The sequence below is a fragment of the Homo sapiens genome, chromosome 3 (assembly GCF_000001405.40).
Source record: "Homo sapiens chromosome 3, GRCh38.p14 Primary Assembly".
NCBI lineage: Eukaryota > Metazoa > Chordata > Mammalia > Primates > Hominidae > Homo > Homo sapiens.
Genome location: NC_000003.12, coordinates 123,291,938 through 123,309,614, shown reverse-complemented (window position 1 = coordinate 123,309,614; position 17,677 = coordinate 123,291,938). Strand labels below are relative to the sequence as shown.

The 17,677-nt window shown below is 52.0% G+C and overlaps 1 protein-coding gene across 18 annotated transcripts in view, besides 1 other annotated feature; it reads left to right on the top strand.

Moving 5' to 3' along the window:
- Positions 1 to 17,677, top strand: part of ADCY5 (adenylate cyclase 5) — a 166,795-nt gene that overhangs the window by 139,476 nt on the left and 9,642 nt on the right. For 12 of the 18 annotated variants that reach the window (NM_001378259.1, XM_011512359.3, XM_005247078.1 and 9 more), the window contains 6 exons: positions 5,432 to 5,548; positions 6,396 to 6,560; positions 9,320 to 9,495; positions 12,233 to 12,262; positions 12,561 to 12,635; positions 13,399 to 13,531. In NM_001378259.1, the coding sequence (NP_001365188.1) occupies positions 5,432 to 5,548; positions 6,396 to 6,560; positions 9,320 to 9,495; positions 12,233 to 12,262; positions 12,561 to 12,635; positions 13,399 to 13,531 (696 nt within the window). The remainder of the gene's footprint in view (positions 1 to 5,431; positions 5,549 to 6,395; positions 6,561 to 9,319; positions 9,496 to 12,232; positions 12,263 to 12,560; positions 12,636 to 13,398; positions 13,532 to 17,677) is intronic. The other 6 variants (NM_183357.3, XM_047447359.1, NM_001199642.1 and 3 more) reach the window with 1 other exon arrangement.
- Positions 14,020 to 14,225: a silencer, noted in NCBI's record as "fragment chr3:123014237-123014442 (GRCh37/hg19 assembly coordinates)". NCBI's record gives its function as "represses an EF-1alpha promoter that drives an FKBP-Casp9 reporter gene in an ReSE screen in K562 erythroleukemia cells {active_cell/tissue: K562}" and the evidence as "EXISTENCE:reporter gene assay evidence [ECO:0000049][PMID:32094911]".

The window sequence follows — 17,677 nt, the reverse complement described above, 5'->3', positions numbered from 1 at the left end:
ATGCTACTTGGAACTGTGTTTCCTGAGCCTCAAAGGTAGCTTTTATTGAGTCTGCTTTGCAGATGAGGAAACTGAGGCCCAGAGAGGTTAGACAGCTTTTTCTAGATCCTGGAGTTAGGAAGTGGTTACTGCTAGGATTTAAACCCAGGTGGTTTTTACTTCAGAGCCCATGAGCCTCCCCTCCAGGACACTGCCTGTGCTAATATATCCAGTTGACTCCTGAAAGGCCAAGTGATGAGAGCACTGGCGTGGGGACCCCTTCTGCCTGCCAGGTTTGACCTCTGTGGTTTTCTTACCTTTTTTTCTTTTTCTGAAGTAGGAGCTACTGCATCTTTTATTAGCTCCTTGTCAAAGAGGCTGTATTCTTAAACTGTTTTGCCATCCAATTTCATCCCCTCCTTTTATCTTTGCAATACCCTGGCCCCGCATCACAGACAGGGGCCCGGGGAGGTCTTCGATGTACCTGGAGACACTCAAAGAGGCCAGGATCAAACTGTTCCTTACCCCAATCATGGTTTATTAACTATGTTCCCACTCCTGTTTTTCATGTTGAATTGATTTGAATTAATCAGATTGGGAATGTACTAGTTCTGAACTTATTTTTTGAAGACAGTTCTTTTTCTGGGCTCTGATTGCGAGCAAGCATTAAGTGATTGGCTGGTGCAGGCAGTTATCCTGCTGGAAAATCCTCTCCACGATCTGACTGCAGTTGTGGTGTAGCCCTGGGAAGAGACTTTGCCCCTGGCAGATAGTTTTTTTGTTTTTTCTTTTTGTTTGTTTGTTTTTGAGACAGAGTCTCGCTCTGTTGCCCAGGCTGGAGTGCAGTGGCACGATCTCGGCTCACTGCAAGCTCCGCCTCCCGGGTTCACGCCATTCTCCTACCTCAGCCTCCCAAGTAGCTGGGACTACAGGTGCCTGCCACCAAGCCCGGCTAATTTTTTGTATTTTTAGTAGAGACATGGTTTCACCTTGTTAGCCAGTTTGATCTCGATCTCCTGACCTCGTGATCCACCTGCCTCGGCCTCCCAAAGTGCTGGGATTACAGGCATGAGCCACTGCGCGTGGCCAAGAGTTTTAAGATCCAAACTGGGGTTAGTAAAATCTAGATTTAGGGCTGACATACAGATGAACTCTCTAATTATAGGAGATGAGACACTCTTTAAACTGATATCAAGACAGGATGTCAAATCTTCTGGAGACTTCAAAAGAACAGTAATTCCTGAGTTCCTACTGAGGTTTTAAAGTCAAGAGAAAGTCTTTTTAAAGAGTGTAGAGTGTGGCCGGGTGCAGTGGCTCACGCCTGTAATCCCAGCACTTTGGGAGGCTGAGGCGGGCGGATCACGAGGTCAGCAGATCAAGACCATCCTGGCTAACACAGTGAAACCCTGTCTGTACTGAAAATACAAAAACAAAATTAGCCGGGCGTGGTGGTGGGCGCCTGTAGTCCCAGCTACTCTAGAGGCTGAGACAGGAGAATGGTGTGAACCTGGGAGGCGGAGCTTGCAGTGAGCCGAGACCATGCCACTGCACTCCAGCCTGGGCGACAGAGCGAGACTCTGTCTCAAAAAAAAAAAAAAAAAAAAAAAGAGCATGAAAAAAAAAAAAGAGCATGGAGGAAGTTGGCTTGTAGCAAGCAAGCAAGCCAGTGCACACTCAGTCATTCATTAGATGGTAGAGCCACATCTAACACTGATTTTTTTTTAAGCCTGCAGTTCTTCTCCTCGCCTCTGGATGGTCCTTGTGGGGCTCCTGGTCCCATATTCACCAGGAAGCTAATGTGCATACTCTATTCCCCAACCACCTTTTATTAAGAAAGTTTTAGCACGTATTAGTAACCTTTGCCTCTATCAGTCATTACATTGGTGATTGCAAAATGATGAAAGAAGCCTCTCAATCAGTGGATGGGGTGATCAGAACTGAACAGTTTAAACAACATAGGGCAAATAGGAGTTGGGGTGGGGGTGAGGGAAGGGGATGGAGATAGAATGACAAAATTTTCAGCAGCCAACGATTTGAAACCATCTGTCATACCATTTCAGACTAAGATCCTCATGCTAGTGCCAAAACACTTCCCCAGCTGTGAAACCAAAAATTCCTTTAAATGGGAAGTAAGGACTTTCATTCTTATTGGCAATATAGCTCTTTAAAATGCAGATATTAACTAACTTTTCTGTTGCGTTTAACAGCTTACAGAGCACTTTCAAATGCATCACTTTACTAAGTCTTGATAGCCACTCTGGGTGAGAGCTATTCCCAATTTCCCAATAACGAGACGGAAGCTCAGAGTGTAGAGTAACGCCCCAGGATCACACAGCCAATAAGAGGCTGAGCAAGATTTTTAAAAATAAGAGCTTCATTGCGACATAATATGCATACCATAAAATTCACCTTTATAAAGGTGAATGAACTTTTAATACACTAGTTTTTAGTATATTCACAAAGTTATTCAACTATTGGTGCTAATTCCAGAACATTGTTGTCATCCCCAGAAGAAACCCCCAGACCCATTAGCAGTCACTCCCCCTGCCCTGATCACCACAGCCCCCAGCAACCACTCATCTACTTTGTCTCTGTGATTCACATGTTCTGGACATCTCACATAAAGGGAATCTCACATGGCCTTTTGAGACTGGTTTCATGCACTTAAAATATTAGTTTCAAGGTTCATCCATGTAGCATGTAACAGCACTTTACTCTCTTTATGCCTGAAAAATATTCCAGTGTATGGATATATCACATTTTGTTTATTCATTCATCAATTGATGGACAATTAAATTGTTTCCACTTTCAGGCTATTAGGAAGAATACAGCTGTGAACATGGGCGTACAAATTATCTGTGCAAGTCCCTGTTTCAGATTCTTTGGGGGATATACCCAGAAGTGGAATTACTGGATCATATGATAATTCTATGCTTGATTTTTTGAGGAGCTACCCTATTGTTTTCCCCAGTGGCTGCCCCATTTTACATTCCCACCAGCAACGCACAAGGATTCCAGTTTCTCTGCATCCTCACCAATACTTTTTTAAAACTTTCCTGATGGTGTTAGTTGATGGACAAAAATAATTAATTTTGATAAAGTCCAATTTATCTGTTTTTTTCTTTTTTGATTGGTGCTTTTGGTGTCACCTCTAAGAAACCATTGCCTGATCCAAAGTCACAAAGGTCTACTTGTATGTTTTCCCATAAGAGTTCTGTAGTTTTGGCTTTTACATTTAAGTTTTCTGGTCCATTTTGAGTTCATTTTTGTACAGGGTGCAGTAGGGACCCAACTTCATTTTTTGCATGTGGATATCTGTGTGTCCCAGCACAATTTGTTGAAAAGACTGTCCTTTCACCATTGTCTTGGAACGCTTGTCAAAATCATTGGGCCATAAATGGAAAGGTTTGTTTCTGGACCCTCAATGTATTTGATTTATTTTTATGTCTATTAAGCAGGATTTTAATACAAGCTTATGCTCTCCAGATCACACCTTTCCTTCTACCACATAAGAGGGTTTGGTCAGAGGGTCTCTTTTTATTATCCCAGAGGGTCTCCTTTATTATCCCAGTGTTTGTTCAGAACATGTGCCACAGGCTTGATGGTATAGGAGCATACCTGGGAGGCTCTCCTGCTGGGGAGATGGAGTCCCAGGCCTTCATCTTTCAGCCTGTAGTCCCAGCTACTCTAGAGGCTGAGACAGGAGAATGGCATGAACCTGGGAGGCGGAGCACTGCCAGGCCTCTGCCGTGGCAGCAGCTCTTCCTGTGATCTATCCATCTTTGTGGTCCCCTCTTTCCCTGTGCTGATAGGAAATGGCTTTGCTGGAAGGGTGGAGGAGGATTCTGGGGTCAGAAAGATATACACCCTCCCTATGCACACAGCCAGCCCCAAGCCCAAGACCCAGGGGTGAGCAGGGGCCTGACTTTTTGTCAAGAACTCTGTCTACTTACAAGCTAATGAGTTTGCTTGTTGCTGTTTCATAGAGGCTGGCAGAAGACACAAGACTCCTGGGTCAGAGACAAAAACTTTATTACTCATGTTACAGACAGCAGCATGAGTGTCAGCATATTTGTGTTTGAAGTCCCTTTGCCACTGAGGTCCCATGTGATGGGCCCTCATGGATGCTGTACATGTAGTGGGTTTGGGTTGCAGCTGAAGAACACTGGACCAAGGGCCCGACACTTTTTTGAGTTGGCAGCAAATACTGTAGCACACAAGCCAGTTCCCCTCCCCACTGGGAGTAAGTGGTCACATGGTGGTCATGCTATGGCCCCATGACCTACTTAGCTGTCTGTCAGTGTGGCCAACTGCAGATGCTGTCAGTATCGGGATGGAGAAGCCTTGTGGTCTGGCAGTTTAAGCAAGAATTTGCAGGGATGCTCACAGCCCATGATTGGGGTAGAGACCTTTGCCTGCTTCACTCACCACAAAAGCTGGGGGTGCCCAAAGGTCCCAAGAGCCGTACAAATAGGAGACTTCAGAGATGGGATGCGGCTTGCTCAGGAACACACAGGAAAAGCCAAGCCAAGCCCAGGCTTCCCAACTCCTGGCTCAGTGCTTTTTCAACCACCCTGTCTGCCCTTGGGGGGTTTTATAGACACCTAGCTTGTCTGTAGCAGATAGGCCTCAGCAGGAAGTGTTGGGGGCAGGTAGGGGTAGGGCATCCTGGATCCTCTGCTTGGCTTCTCTGTCCATCAGATTCTTTTTCAGCCTAGGTTGCATGGGAGATGAGGGGGACATGATTTACAAGGCCAGCTGCATCAGATTTGGTGGCAGAAATGGGACTTAGGAGCCCAATCATTTAATTACCAAAGCTGCAGGGGGTCTTTGAGTAGACATGGTTTGTCTGGTGGAAGAATACAGCGTAGGAGAGAATGAGGGAAATGGCAGGTCCTTGGAGCTTGGTGCTAAGGATAGAGCTCACTCAGTGCTCAGGGCCACACCCACCTCCTTCCTGCTCCTCGCTGGTCAGTCCCTCCTCCCGAGCCCAGAGGCCTAGTCCTCTCCAAATCCTTAAACTCACCGCTGCCCACTCCCTCCCAGAAGCCTTCTCAACCCTCCTGGGAACATTCTGAGCCCTCCACGACTCCTCAGCTGCCACCCACCGCCCCTCCCTGATGGCACACAGCGGGTCAATGTGCTTTTTATTGATTTCTCTGTTGGGTCAAGATACCATCTTTCCTGTCTTCCTGCCTCTCTCACCTGGGTTCCCCACGTAGTCCCGCTCCTGGTCAGCTGCAGAATCTGCCCTGCCGTTGACCTGGAAGCAATGGTGCAGCGGTTCAAGGCTGGAGCCTTGCAGGCTGGAAGGGCCACCAGGAAGGCCCAGGGGTCATGCTGGGGAGAGACACAGGTGGGTCCACTGCACTCCCGGGACCATTTGTGGAGTCCTTGCTGAATGCTATTCCGTCTCTCCCTCCCTCCCTCTCCACCCCTGCCCCCACCCTAGCTCTTCCCCTCCCCACTGCAGACCCTCTCCAGGAAGATCGTGCGGTCCAAGATGAACAGCACCCTGGTTGGGGTGTTCACCATCACCCTGGTGTTCCTGGCGGCTTTTGTCAACATGGTGGGTGGCTGCACGACCTCCTAGCACCTCCGCAGCCCCATTGGATCAAACCCAGTGGAGCCATGTACCCGACAAGCAGGCCTAGGAGAGACTTTCCCTGGAAGTTCTTATTTGTTTCGCACCTGGGTCTGGGATCAGCTTTGGCTCAATGTGCCTCACACAAGTTCTTTCTTCTCTTCTCTTCTCTTCTCTTCTCTTCTCTTCTCTTCTCTTCTCTTCTCTTCTCTTTTCTTTCCAGTTTTGAGACAGAGTCTTACTCTTTCACCCAGGCTGGAGTGCAGTGGTGCCATCACAGCTCACTGCAACCTCCACCTCCTGGGATCAAGAGGTCCTCCTGCCTCAGCCTCCCAAGTAGCTGGGACTACAGGTGTGCACCACCACGCCCAGCTAATTTTTGTCTGTTTTTTTTAGAGATGGGGTTTCCCCATGTTGCCAGGCTGGTCGCCAGGCTGGTCTCAAACTCCTGGGCTCAAGTGATCCGCGGGCCTCGGCCTCTCAAAGTACTGGGATTACAGGCATGAGCCACTATGCTTGGCTACTCTCCCACTAAGTGAAGTTCTTAGCTCTTCATTCTCAAGCCTGGTGGGGCCAGGAAGAGTTTAGGGAATGTCCCCAAGGCATGTTTAAGAACCCCTCCCTGGGAGGGCATGCTAGCCACACCCCCTCCAGCCAGGACAGCTGGGCAGACTTTGCCCGTTCCTCAGACTCTTTCAGATTTTGTCCCCATCAGTGTCATGCTGCACCTGAGGCGGAGGACAGGCGGGAGCCTGCGGCCTGGTGGGCTGGGCTGCTCTACCTGTCCCCCAGCAGCTTACCCTCCCCTCATCACCCTCCTTCCTCCCCCCAGTTCACGTGCAACTCCAGGGACCTGCTGGGCTGCTTGGCACAGGAGCACAACATCAGCGCGAGCCAGGTCAACGCGTGTCACGTGGCGGAGTCGGCCGTCAACTACAGCCTGGGCGATGAGCAGGGCTTCTGTGGCAGCCCCTGGCCCAACTGCAACTTCCCCGAGGTACTGGGTGCACAGGGGCTGGAAGGGAGTGCTGAAGAGTCCCTTGCCCTCCCCCACTGTCACTGCAGCTGCTCAGGACAGTCTGAAGGACAGGGTCTCACCAGCTCACTGTCTTCTAGAGGCCTGCTTACCCCAGTATCTCTCACTCCTACATGCCAGTGTCTGCACTGGGAACAAGGGGAGCCTCCTCCATATGACAATGACTGTTAAAGCGGTGTAGCTGTTGTTTCTATAGTGCTTACCAGGGACTGTGGCTGAGAGCTCTACCTGCACTTACTCATTAAATCCTCCCAACAGCCTATGACATAGGTATTATATTATCTCCTTTGTAGAGACGAAGAACCTGATACACAGAGAGGCTAAGTAATTTGCCCCAGATCACACAGCCAGGACTCAACAGAGCTGGAGCTCTCATTCAAGTTGTCCAGCTCCAGACAGAGTTCGTGCTCCTGATCTGAGGGCAAAACTTTATAGACCCTCAGCTTCTGTAGCAGACCCTACCCCACCTCAGGAGAACCCACCTAAGCCCCAGCTGTTAGAGAGGAGGGAGGGGAGCAAAGGAACCCAGTCCCAAACCAGCACTACTATAAACCTCACCCGTTCAAAGTGCACGGTTCAGTAGCTTTTAGTGTGTTCACCGATGTGTACAGCCATCATCATCATCTAATTTTAGAATACTTTCATCACCCCAAAAAGAAATTTTGTGCCTACAGGCATTTGGGTTTAAAAATAATACCACGTATCCTTATTCAGAAAACAGCATATATGAAGCACCTGTGGCGTGCAAGTTGCTTCGTTCATGGTACTGCGTTTGCCAGGAAGCAGTTCGCTGTCAGCAGCTGGGCTGAGCTTCCAGCCCCCAACTTCCCAAACCCCCAGCTCCCTATGGGTGCACACATGAAGCCTGTAAGATGGGGGCAGTTTGCCTTTTTCTGGGGAGAAGGTCTATGTTTTCATCCAACTCCCAAAGGGCCTGTGACTGCAGCTGAGGGGTGCTGTGGGCTGTCAGTGTGGGCCCCCCACCCAGCCTGGGATCTGGCTCTCAGATGTACAGACAGGGCAGGGAAGGCCCAGGGAGGAGCAGGGCTTGGCCCCAGCTCACCTAGGCAGGTGCAGCCCCACCCCCGCTCCGCCCCACCCCTGGGCTGGTGGCAAGCTCTGTCTCCTCCAGGCAGCCATGCTGCACCCAGCCTCCCCTTCCTAGCCTCCCCTCCCCAGCCTCCCTAGCCTCTGCTGCCTCTCATATCTGGCTGAGAGCCCACAGGAGCTCTTCAGCTTTCTGAGGGCTGTTTATGAGGAGCAGAGGCTATTTTCAGTCTCGTACTTGCCCCTTGGTGGTGGCTCCCCTGGTGAGGCTAAGGCCTGGGGGGAGAGGGTGGCAGTGGGCAGGTCCTGGCTCCTCATTTGTGGGAGAGGCTTGGTGCCAGCCTTCAGCCCCCACCAGCTGACCACCTCCCTCAAAGGTTGCTCCTGATTCAGCAACTCCTCACAGACCAGACCCTGGGGGGTCCCCAGCATCCAGTGTTGGCCTCCTGGTTATCTGGGCCAAGGTCTGAATGGGAATCCAAGCTGGCTTTTGGAGCTCCCATCCCTCCTCCCAAAGACTGAGGCTCTGGGGCTCTGAGCTGACTCATCTGGGCATGCCCTTCTCATTCCCTCTTCTGCTCCTGTTCCCAGTGGCGATGTGAGGCTTCCCCCCACAATCCAATCACCCAGGGGCCCTTGGCAGTCCTTCCTTGGCTCCAGAAGGCCTGAGGAGGCTGAGGGTCTGCCCTAGGGGCTGCCCCAGCCCAGGGCAGAAGCCGTGTGCGAAGAGTAAACATCTGGAAGCCTGACTCAGAAACAACGGTGCTAAATTAAAATAGTAATAATAATAATCATAATAATTGATGCTGACGTGCCTAGGGACGTCATCTGCATCAAGGGACAGCAGCAGATGGGGACCTCCGAGATTACCTGGTTTAGCCCCTCAGTTGTCTAAGAAGGAAACGGAGGCTCAGAGACCAGAAGGGGCTTCCCCAGAGGGAACAGCACAGGGCACGATCCCTCCTCTGAAACCTTTGGAGCCCCATATATTTTGGTCTTCAGAATTTTTCAGATTTTAAAAGGTTGCCTCCCACCCCCAGTGGAGTCTGATCATGAAATGGTCATATTTCCACAGTAGTAGCATGTCTGCATGTCACAGGGGACAGGATAAAGATGATAACTAGCGTCCCAGAAGTGAGGTCAGCTTTTGCCACCAGAGCAGCTCCGTTCAGGCGTGGCCCCCTACAGGAGTCATGAAAACACATTCTGCTTTTGGAGCTTTGGAGTTCAAAGCTGCAGATTAGGGGCTCCCCACGGTTATTGAGGGTGCTGGACACTGCAGCCAGGGCTTCCTTCCGTGTGTTCATCACAGCGAGCCATGAGATAGGAAGCCTTGCAGAGGGGACACTGAGGCTCAGAGGGGCTGAGCACGCAGCCCGAGGCACACAAAGCCCAGTGTGGATCAGGCCTGAAACCCAGGGCAGCCTGGGCCTGCAGCGCAGCTGTAACGTGGGGCTGTCCTGCAGGCAATGGCCAGACTCCAGCTGGAGCCCATCTCCTGGTTCCTAACCAGGGCCCTTCACTTTATATCACACCTGTTGGGAAATTTACATCAGCAGAAACATGCCCAGCCCAGGCCTCACTTGAGCCAGCTCAGACTGGAGGATGCATGGGGCCAGGGCCCGGGGTCGGGCAGGGCCTGGGGAGCTGATGCTGCTGCCCTCTGCCCGCAGTACTTCACCTACAGCGTGCTGCTCAGCCTGCTGGCCTGCTCCGTGTTCCTGCAGATCAGCTGCATCGGGAAGCTGGTGCTCATGCTGGCCATCGAGCTCATCTACGTGCTCATCGTGGAGGTGCCAGGTGTCACGCTCTTCGACAACGCCGACCTGCTGGTCACCGCCAACGCCATGTATGGGGCACCTCCCTCACGCTCCCCACTGGGCATGAGACATTGCAGGGAGGTGGCAAGAGCAGGAGGTTTAGGGTTCTGGCACCACAGGGAACTTGCGAGGAGAGTATCTTGTTCCTCCCCAGCCCTGACATCTGGAAAACGGCCTTGTTTCTTTCCTTCCTTCCCATTCCCAGTAGTTGGAGTGGCCTCAGGTCACCAGGCCCCACTGTGTTTCTTTCTCTGGTTTGCTCCCCGCTTGCCAGGGCAGCCTCCAGTGGGCTGCTTTCACCTCGGTCCAGCTGCCCCAGGCTCAGAGGAGTCACGGTCCAGCAGAGCCGGGCAGTAAGGAGTGTGGGAGCAGAGGGACAAGCTTTGTTGTTCACAGGGTCTGTGTCCCACCTCGAGGCAGGTGCCTGGATATCCGCTGTTCCTCTTCCTCCTGCAGCAACTCAGCCAAGTAGGCAGGCCCACCACATAAGGCTGGGCATCTGTGCACTACTCAAAGGCTCCTGGCTGTGGTGGCAGAGGTTAGGTCCCACGTCCTAGAGGTGGTAGGTGTGAAGGTGGGGCCTATGGCTGTCTGGTCCCACAGTCAGCATGGTCATGTAGTGACAGATGTAAGATTTCCAAGGGAGGTGGCTCCATGAGGGGAAAGACCTTAGGCTTTGGGTGAAATTGGGTTAGAATCTCAGCCTCAGACACATTGATTATTCCTCTGAACCTCATAATTTTTTCTTTGTAAAATGGGAATATTGTCAACCCAAACTAAGGTGATTGAGGCAGAAATAATTTGATCAAGTTTTGTTGGAAGCTGGATGTGAGGATCGGCCAGGAAGACACACGCACCAAGTTAGGCATGTTCCAGAAGCTGTTACAAGTGGGAATGCTTTCATAAGAAAGTAGAAGGGAAGGGGACTCCTCAGATCAGAGTTGTCCTTTGTCATTGGAGGGTTACAATAATTGGCTACAGATTGCAACATACAGACTAAAATGTCTACATGCCAGCAATCGGTACAACTTCATGATTCAGAAATGAATCAGCATTTTTTCATGTCAATAGATTATGCATTAATCAGTACATCAGCAATTTGAGGAGCTCAGATAAGATTCTTCACTCGGGCAGGATATTGCCGTAAATCACAAGACCTCCCTGAAGCAGGTTAATTTGGAAGCCTGGCAAATGTGAACTGTGGATTATCAACGCCCATAGTAGTAAGATGTATTGAAAGTGCCTGATTCGTAATATGCTTTTCTACGCATCACCACTCCCTATACACACACCAAGAAGTGCAAAAAAAAAAAAAAAAGTGACAGTTTTGTGTCCCCTGAGAAAATGCAGCAAACTGTACCTTCTTTGAGTGAGAGGAAGGGATTCATCCATCCATCCATTTGTTCACCCATTCATTCATTCAAAAATATGAAGGGCCTGCTATGTGCCAGCCACTGAGCTAGGCAGTGGAGGTACAATGTGGATAAATAGAAAACTCTCAGGAATGTTCCTCTCTTGGGAAGGTGGTGTCGCCTGAGAAAGTGGAGGTGTAATGAAGGGTTTAAGTCATATTCAAGGAAGAACTTCTTGGTGGTTGTGTGGGGGCTATGGGCAGATGACCACAAAGAGATGGGACAGTGGAGCATGGGACAAGCTGCCATCCTTTGAGAAGGAACAGGAGGTCCAGGAACTTTTCTACTCTTGGTTCAGGGCTGGAGCAGGGAATGTTGCCCTCCTCTTACTGCTCCTTCCCATCCTCAGCATCTCCTCTTCAGGCGCTGAAGTTGGCAACAGACAGTGAAGGTTATTTCTGGATTGGGAGACCATGGTTTGGCTCTAGGGCAACCTTGTCCAATAGATAAAAAGTGGGCCGGGTGCTGTAGCTCACACCTGTAATCCCAGCACTTTGGGAGGCTGAGGTGGTTGGATCACTTGAGTCCAGCCTGGCCTACAAAATCCCACGTCTATTAAAAATACAAAAATTAGCCAGGTGTGGTGGCATGCACCTGTAATCCCAGCTACTTGGGAGGCTGAGGTACAAGAATAGCTTGAACCCAGGAGGTGGAGGTTACAGTGAGCCGAGATTGCACCACTGCACTGCAGCCTGGAAGATAGAGCAAGACTTTGTCTCAAAAAAATAAAAAAATAAAAAGCCACTTATGTAATTTAAAATTTTCTTATAGCCATATTAAAAAGGCAAAAAGTATAATTTGACTTTTATTTAACAAGTACTATATAGCCAAAATATCATTTTAAGATATAATCGATATAAAATTCTTAATGAAATATTTTACCTTTTTTTACACTAATTATTCAAAACCTGGTGTATGTTTTACACATACAGCACATTTTAGCTTGCACCAGCCCCATGTTGAGGCTCAGTAGCTGCACGTGGCCAGCGGCTGCCACACCAAGCAGCGCAGCTGTGGGATCTCTCCTCCACGCCCTCTGGATGGCAGCAAAGGCCTGGGAGGGGGAGAGGCGGGCAGGCCTCCACCCAGGTAGATATGCTGGGGTCTGGGAAGGCAGGGTTTCAGGTAAGAGCTGGGTGGTTTGTGGTCATGAGTATCCAATGCTAGTTGGGGCTGGGCTTTCTGCCACCTCCCACCCTGAAAATGTCGTTGGATATGGAGGGTGAATGGGGCTGGGGAGCCAAGGAGCAGCAGTGGTGGGGACAGCAGAGCAGGGCGTGGGGGCTGAGCAGGAGTGGAGGCCGCCTTATGCAGAAGGGTGGCCCTGACCAGTCTTCCCCAACTCTCTTCACAGAGACTTCTTCAACAACGGGACCTCCCAGTGGTGAGTTGATGCTCCTCGGATAGGGTCGCTCCCTGCCCTCAGCACAGAGCAGACAGGGAGGGCAGCTGGTGCCCAGGTGGGAGGGGCCTTGGTGGCAAGGTGGGTAGTGAAGGAGAAGGCCAACAGGACAGGGAGGCTGGTTCCTCCTGGGGTAGCAAGGCGTCCTCGGGGGGCAGAGGCCCTGGTCACTTTCATGATCCCTGCCAAGGTGATCTGTAGTCTCTGTGGTTGGGATCACCGGCTTCAGATCATCCCATAGGCCTCATGTTAAAGCATTTAACCTCAAGCTCTTCCCCAGGAGCCTGTGTGAGAACCTCAGACACAGGAGAATGGAAGCTGGTACCTACTTTCCCTCTGGAGTCAAGGAACAAAGGCGAGGGCTGCAGTGCTTGTGGGACCCGTCCCTGCATTGAGGGCTGCTGCCTGGGCAAGGGGCGGGGGGTCACTGGAGCCTCTGTGCAGCCTTCCAGGGGTTGAGCTCTTGGCAGGCACAAGACGTAGGATTTGGAATGGCTGCTTTTGTTAAGAGTATCTATTAGTAACAAAAACAGAATTAGACAATAATGCTACTAGTTTGCAGCACCTACTGTTGGTCAGATGCTGTGCTAAGCATTTTGTTTATAATATCTCTTTAATCCTTACTACCATCTTGAAATGTGGCTATTGTTATCCTGTTGTACAGATAAGCAAACTAAAGTTCAGAGAGATTAAGACACTTGCCCAAGGTTGTCCAGAGACAGGGTCAGCATGGCCTGCGTGGTGCCCTTTTACTGCACCCACTGCCCCTGTCTTGTCCAGAGAAGGATCTGGATGTACATGCTGCCTTTTAGAAAGCTAAGTTCATCCCCTGATCTGACCAGAGGGGAGCTCCCGAGTGATGGGGGGTTGTAAGGCGTCAGGAGAGGAGTAATGGCTGCCTGAGCTGCAGGTGCAAGCAGGGTCTGAGATGGGGCTGCCAGCCAGGAAGGCTTTCTGGAGGAGGCACGCGTGCGGCAAAGTTTGAGCAGGGGGATAAGGAAGAGGGGAAGGTATAGTGGGAGGAAGAAAACAGGGCCAGCAGTGGGTGGGGGTGGGGTCCTCAGAGCCCGCTGTGAGGAGCCACGGCCGTCTCAGGCCTGTCCACCACCTCCCCACAGCCCTGAGCATGCAACCAAGGTGGCATTGAAGGTGGTGACGCCCATCATCATCTCAGTCTTTGTGCTGGCCCTGTACCTGCACGCCCAGCAGGTGGAGTCCACTGCCCGCCTCGACTTCCTCTGGAAACTGCAGGTGGGTGGCCCTGGGGCTGGACCTGGGGAGGGAGGCATTTGGGAGCAGGTGGCGGAGACAACAGGCTCGTCTGCTGGGCCAGGCCAAGCCGGGCCTTCGTCTTACACTGTCAAGCTGTCTTGCTCAGGCCCCATCGAAGCCACTTGGTGCCCTGTGTCCCCGTGGGTCTGCTCCCTGCACTCTGGAGCCAAGAGGCAAAACCCTGGGACTTACTCTGTGCAGACAAACCCATGCTGACAGTGCTGGGACTCTGACGGGTCCAGGAGGCATGCTTTGAAGTCAGCAAATACTGGCTGGGCACTTACTGTGTGTGTTGCCAGGCAGGGACAGAGGGGAGGTGCGGGCAGGTCCTTTGTGGTGGGGGCAGCAAGGCATCTGGGACGGGGGAAGGAAGAGTGGCAAGAGGTGAGTGGAGGAGTAGGGGAGGAACCTGGCCAGGGTAGGGAACTGGCACCAAAGGTTTCTGAGCAGGGCTTGACCTAGCCAGAGCTGGGTTGAAGACTTCTCCAGAGGGGATGGACTGAAGGAGCAAAGACTGTTGACCATGATGCATGCATTCCAGCCAGCACTTGGCTCTCCAGGCTGCCTGCCCTGTGCCTTGTGTCTCCCTGGAGGAAGGGGTGCCTGTGGGCCAGGTTACCTGCTGGAGCATCTCGGAAGGGCCAGGAGGGAGTGCCCAAGAGCACTCAGCAGGAGAAAGCCCTGTCTTCCTGTGGGCTGCCTCACACCTTTTATTCCAGCCCAGCCCTGTGCAGAGCTTAGCCTGGCCCGGCCTCTGCCTCTCTTGGCCCGGCCCCTATCTCTAGACCACTTCAGCTCACCCACAGCTCACTTTGACCTCCTCCATCCCAGACTTCTTAGAGGCATCAGGATGGAAGTCTTTGGGCTGGAGCAGGAGGCCCTGCTTTTCGTTGGATGCTGAGTGAGGATGGGGGCAAATGGTTGTCCCTTCTGCTGAGTATTTTGCATGGGTTCTGGCTGGAATTGAGCACGGAGGTCTGCAGTTGAGGGGTCCCCTGAGTTTGGGGAAACCAGGGAGAATCCCAGAAGGGTTCTGTGCAGAATGCCCCTTGTGAAGCCCTGGGCTGGGGCACCCTGGGGAAGATCCTGTGTGAGCCTGCCCCTTGTCAGGCCTCTGCCTTCTTCCTCAATCCCCTCTTCTTTGGGAACATTTCCAGGAGGCTCTCATTTTTCTGCATTTGCTCTATCACCCACCGCCATATGTATTTTCTGACATGATGCCCCATCACCCCTAAATACTCCCATGTCTACCTTGCAAAAACAAGGTCACTCCCTGCGTCATCCCTGCGCACCCTCCCCATCGGCGATCAGCAGGGGTGCGGCAGGCCCCTCTCAGTGTTGCCGACTGTCCCGATGCTGGTCCAGGATCCTGTGCACAGGTCCTCTGTATCGAGCTGTTCCAGTCTGCAGTAGATCCTCAGTCTCTCCTCATCTCATGGTCCTTGCCAATCTTAAAGAACTTGTTACTCTGGGACCTTCAGACCCATGTCCAGACTCAGGCTGAGCCTTCCTGGAGGAAGCACACAGAAATGGAGCCGGGCACCCCTTGGTGCCTCGCACTGAGAGACTCCACCGTGTTGACCCATCCCACCACCGGTGATGTCAGCCCTGATGGCCTGCTCAACCAGCATCTGCCAGATTTCTCCACTGTCATGTCCCCTTTTCCCCCTTTGTATTTGACTAGCACTTTATGGAAAGAGAGTCTGATATTCCACTAATTTTCTGATCCTCAGCAAATCTCTGCCCAGCAGCCTTTGCATCCATTGGTGGCTCCTGCTTGTCTCAGTGCCTGCTGTGGAAATGCCCGATAGCAATGCCCAGTGTCCGCCATTCCTTCTGGACTTGCTGGTTGGCATTCTACTGCACAGAAGAGCTGTCCCTCCTCCTCCATTGATTTGCTTATTTATTCACTTCTCTACCTCAGCCTGGACTCGCAGATTCCCATGTAATCCAGTGGGTTATCGTCTGCAACCCTCACTATGTATTTTAATGCTCAAATTGTCCTAGGTTTGGCCCATGTGCATTTCAAGTTGGCGTCTGTTATTTGACAGGTCTCCATCACTCTTTGAGCTTTTCCTGACTTTCCAACACACGCGATCGCAGGCTAATCTTGTGCTTTCCCTGCTCCAGCCCGGGAATCTGTGATTTCTTCAAAGAGCCCTCCCTCATTCTTAGTAGTAGAGAGTGGTGTTTAGAAACCAAGGTCTGAGCGTTTGGTGTGCTCGCTGCTTGTAGGTGTGGAAACGTACGTGGAAACGTGTGTATACATGTATCTGTACTACTTCAGTATCCATCTGTACAGATCTGTTTTTAATAATCCTGAGTTCATACCACTACCTCCCATTTTAATCCAATACCTCGGGCTTCTTCCCAGCCTTCCCTGTTCCGTGCTTGCAATGTCATCTCTGGCAATGAGAAACTCACCTCCCATTATCTTTCATGTATGTGTTTATTTGCTCAGTGGTGACCCCCCCCACCCCCTCCTCACCTGTGTGCACACACATGCACAAGAGTGTGTGTGTGCATGTGCGTGTGTGTAGGAATGTGTGAGTGAGCCTGTGTCTACCTGCCAGCCTGTGGCAACTTCTCTCCCTCAAGTTTTCCAGCAGGTCCCTCATTTTCCCATCCTTCCCCTGGGATTTTGGGAGAGGGAGCCATCATCACATAAATACCAATAAAGAAACACCAGAAAGCAGGCCCTTGGGATGGGCAAGTGATAGTCTCTGCCCCGCCCCCAGGCTGGCTTAGCAGCCCCTGTACAGTTGGCTGGTAGGCGGACTCCTCAGCATTCTTCAAGCACCTGCACAAGGAACACACTCTGACCCGCCTAGCGCCTGCCTGGCCCCCTCCTAGCCTAACTGCAGGGTCTGAGTTCTCAGGAGAGCCTGCTCTTGTCCCTTCCTCCAGCATTGACCTTAGTGGGGCCACCAAGAGGCTGTAGCCCCCCGAACCTTCCTGCCCTGCCAGGGCGCAGCCCCAGAAGTAGTTGGCTGCATTGTCAGGCGCCCACCTGTGCTGGGGTGGAGTTTGCAGAGGTGGCTGTAGCAGCTGGCCTGGCCCTGGGGATTGGCTCTGCCCCCAGCTGTAGCCTGCTCTAGCGGCCCTGCCCCTAGCTTCCACCTCCACTCTGTCTGACACTTTGGGCTGATGCTGTCTGCCACCTGCAGGGTGCATCAAAGGAGCTGTAGTGCTTCTGGCATCCGTGGGCCCCCAGGCATGTGTCTCAGCAGAGGTAGGAGCAGGACTGTCTAGTCTGGTGCATTTTCAGAGGCAAATAACTGACTGCAGGGCTCCTCCATGGGACAGCCTGTGAGAAGAAGCACAGGGATGCCCCCTACCCCCCACCCCCAGCCTTCTCCCGTGGGCATAGCTGTTCCAGAGCCAGACACAGGTAGCCTTATTCATGGCGAGGGACATGGGTAAAGGGTACTGCCTCCCAGGAGCTTAGGTCACCTGGGCAGGAAGGCTTGGCAAGAAGACAGCACAGACCAGCTGGCTCCCCGTGCCTCTGTGGGTGGTGGTGGAAGGCGGGGCCCTTTAGCGTCCAGAAGCCCTCGGGATGATCCCAGTCCTCACAGCCACATTCCCAGGGACTCCAGGAGGCCACCAGGCCATGGGCAGCACAGTCAGGAGCCCACTTACCTTAGGGGCAGGGCTGGCCATTGAGCCTAGGGGTCCTGGATCTTCTGCCCTGGGAGCTCTTCCTCCGTGCTGGACCCAGGTCCTGAAGCCTTGGAAAGGAGCACCAGCTCTTTCCCCATGGACATCCACCACCACAGGGACAGCCAGGGCCCTGAGAGTCAGTCCTGGTCCTGTTGGAGATTCTACTTGCAGCTGAGCAGAAAAGTGTCTTCATTTAGTTAGGAAAAGCCCAAGTGGGCCAGCCAGATTTTTCTCATGAACACTCTTGTCAGATGGTTCCTTGCCACACCTCGGTGTGTGACACCTCTTCCCTTCAGCCCCTTGTAGGGCACTACTGGCCTCTTGACCCGAGGGATCTGCCCTGTCCTTTAACCTGGAAGGTGGGTGACCAAAAAATCCCATAGACCCAGGACCCAAACTGGGGGAAAACCAAAGTCACTGGTGATGTCCCATCCTCATCCCAGGGGGTCCCTCCTGGCACTT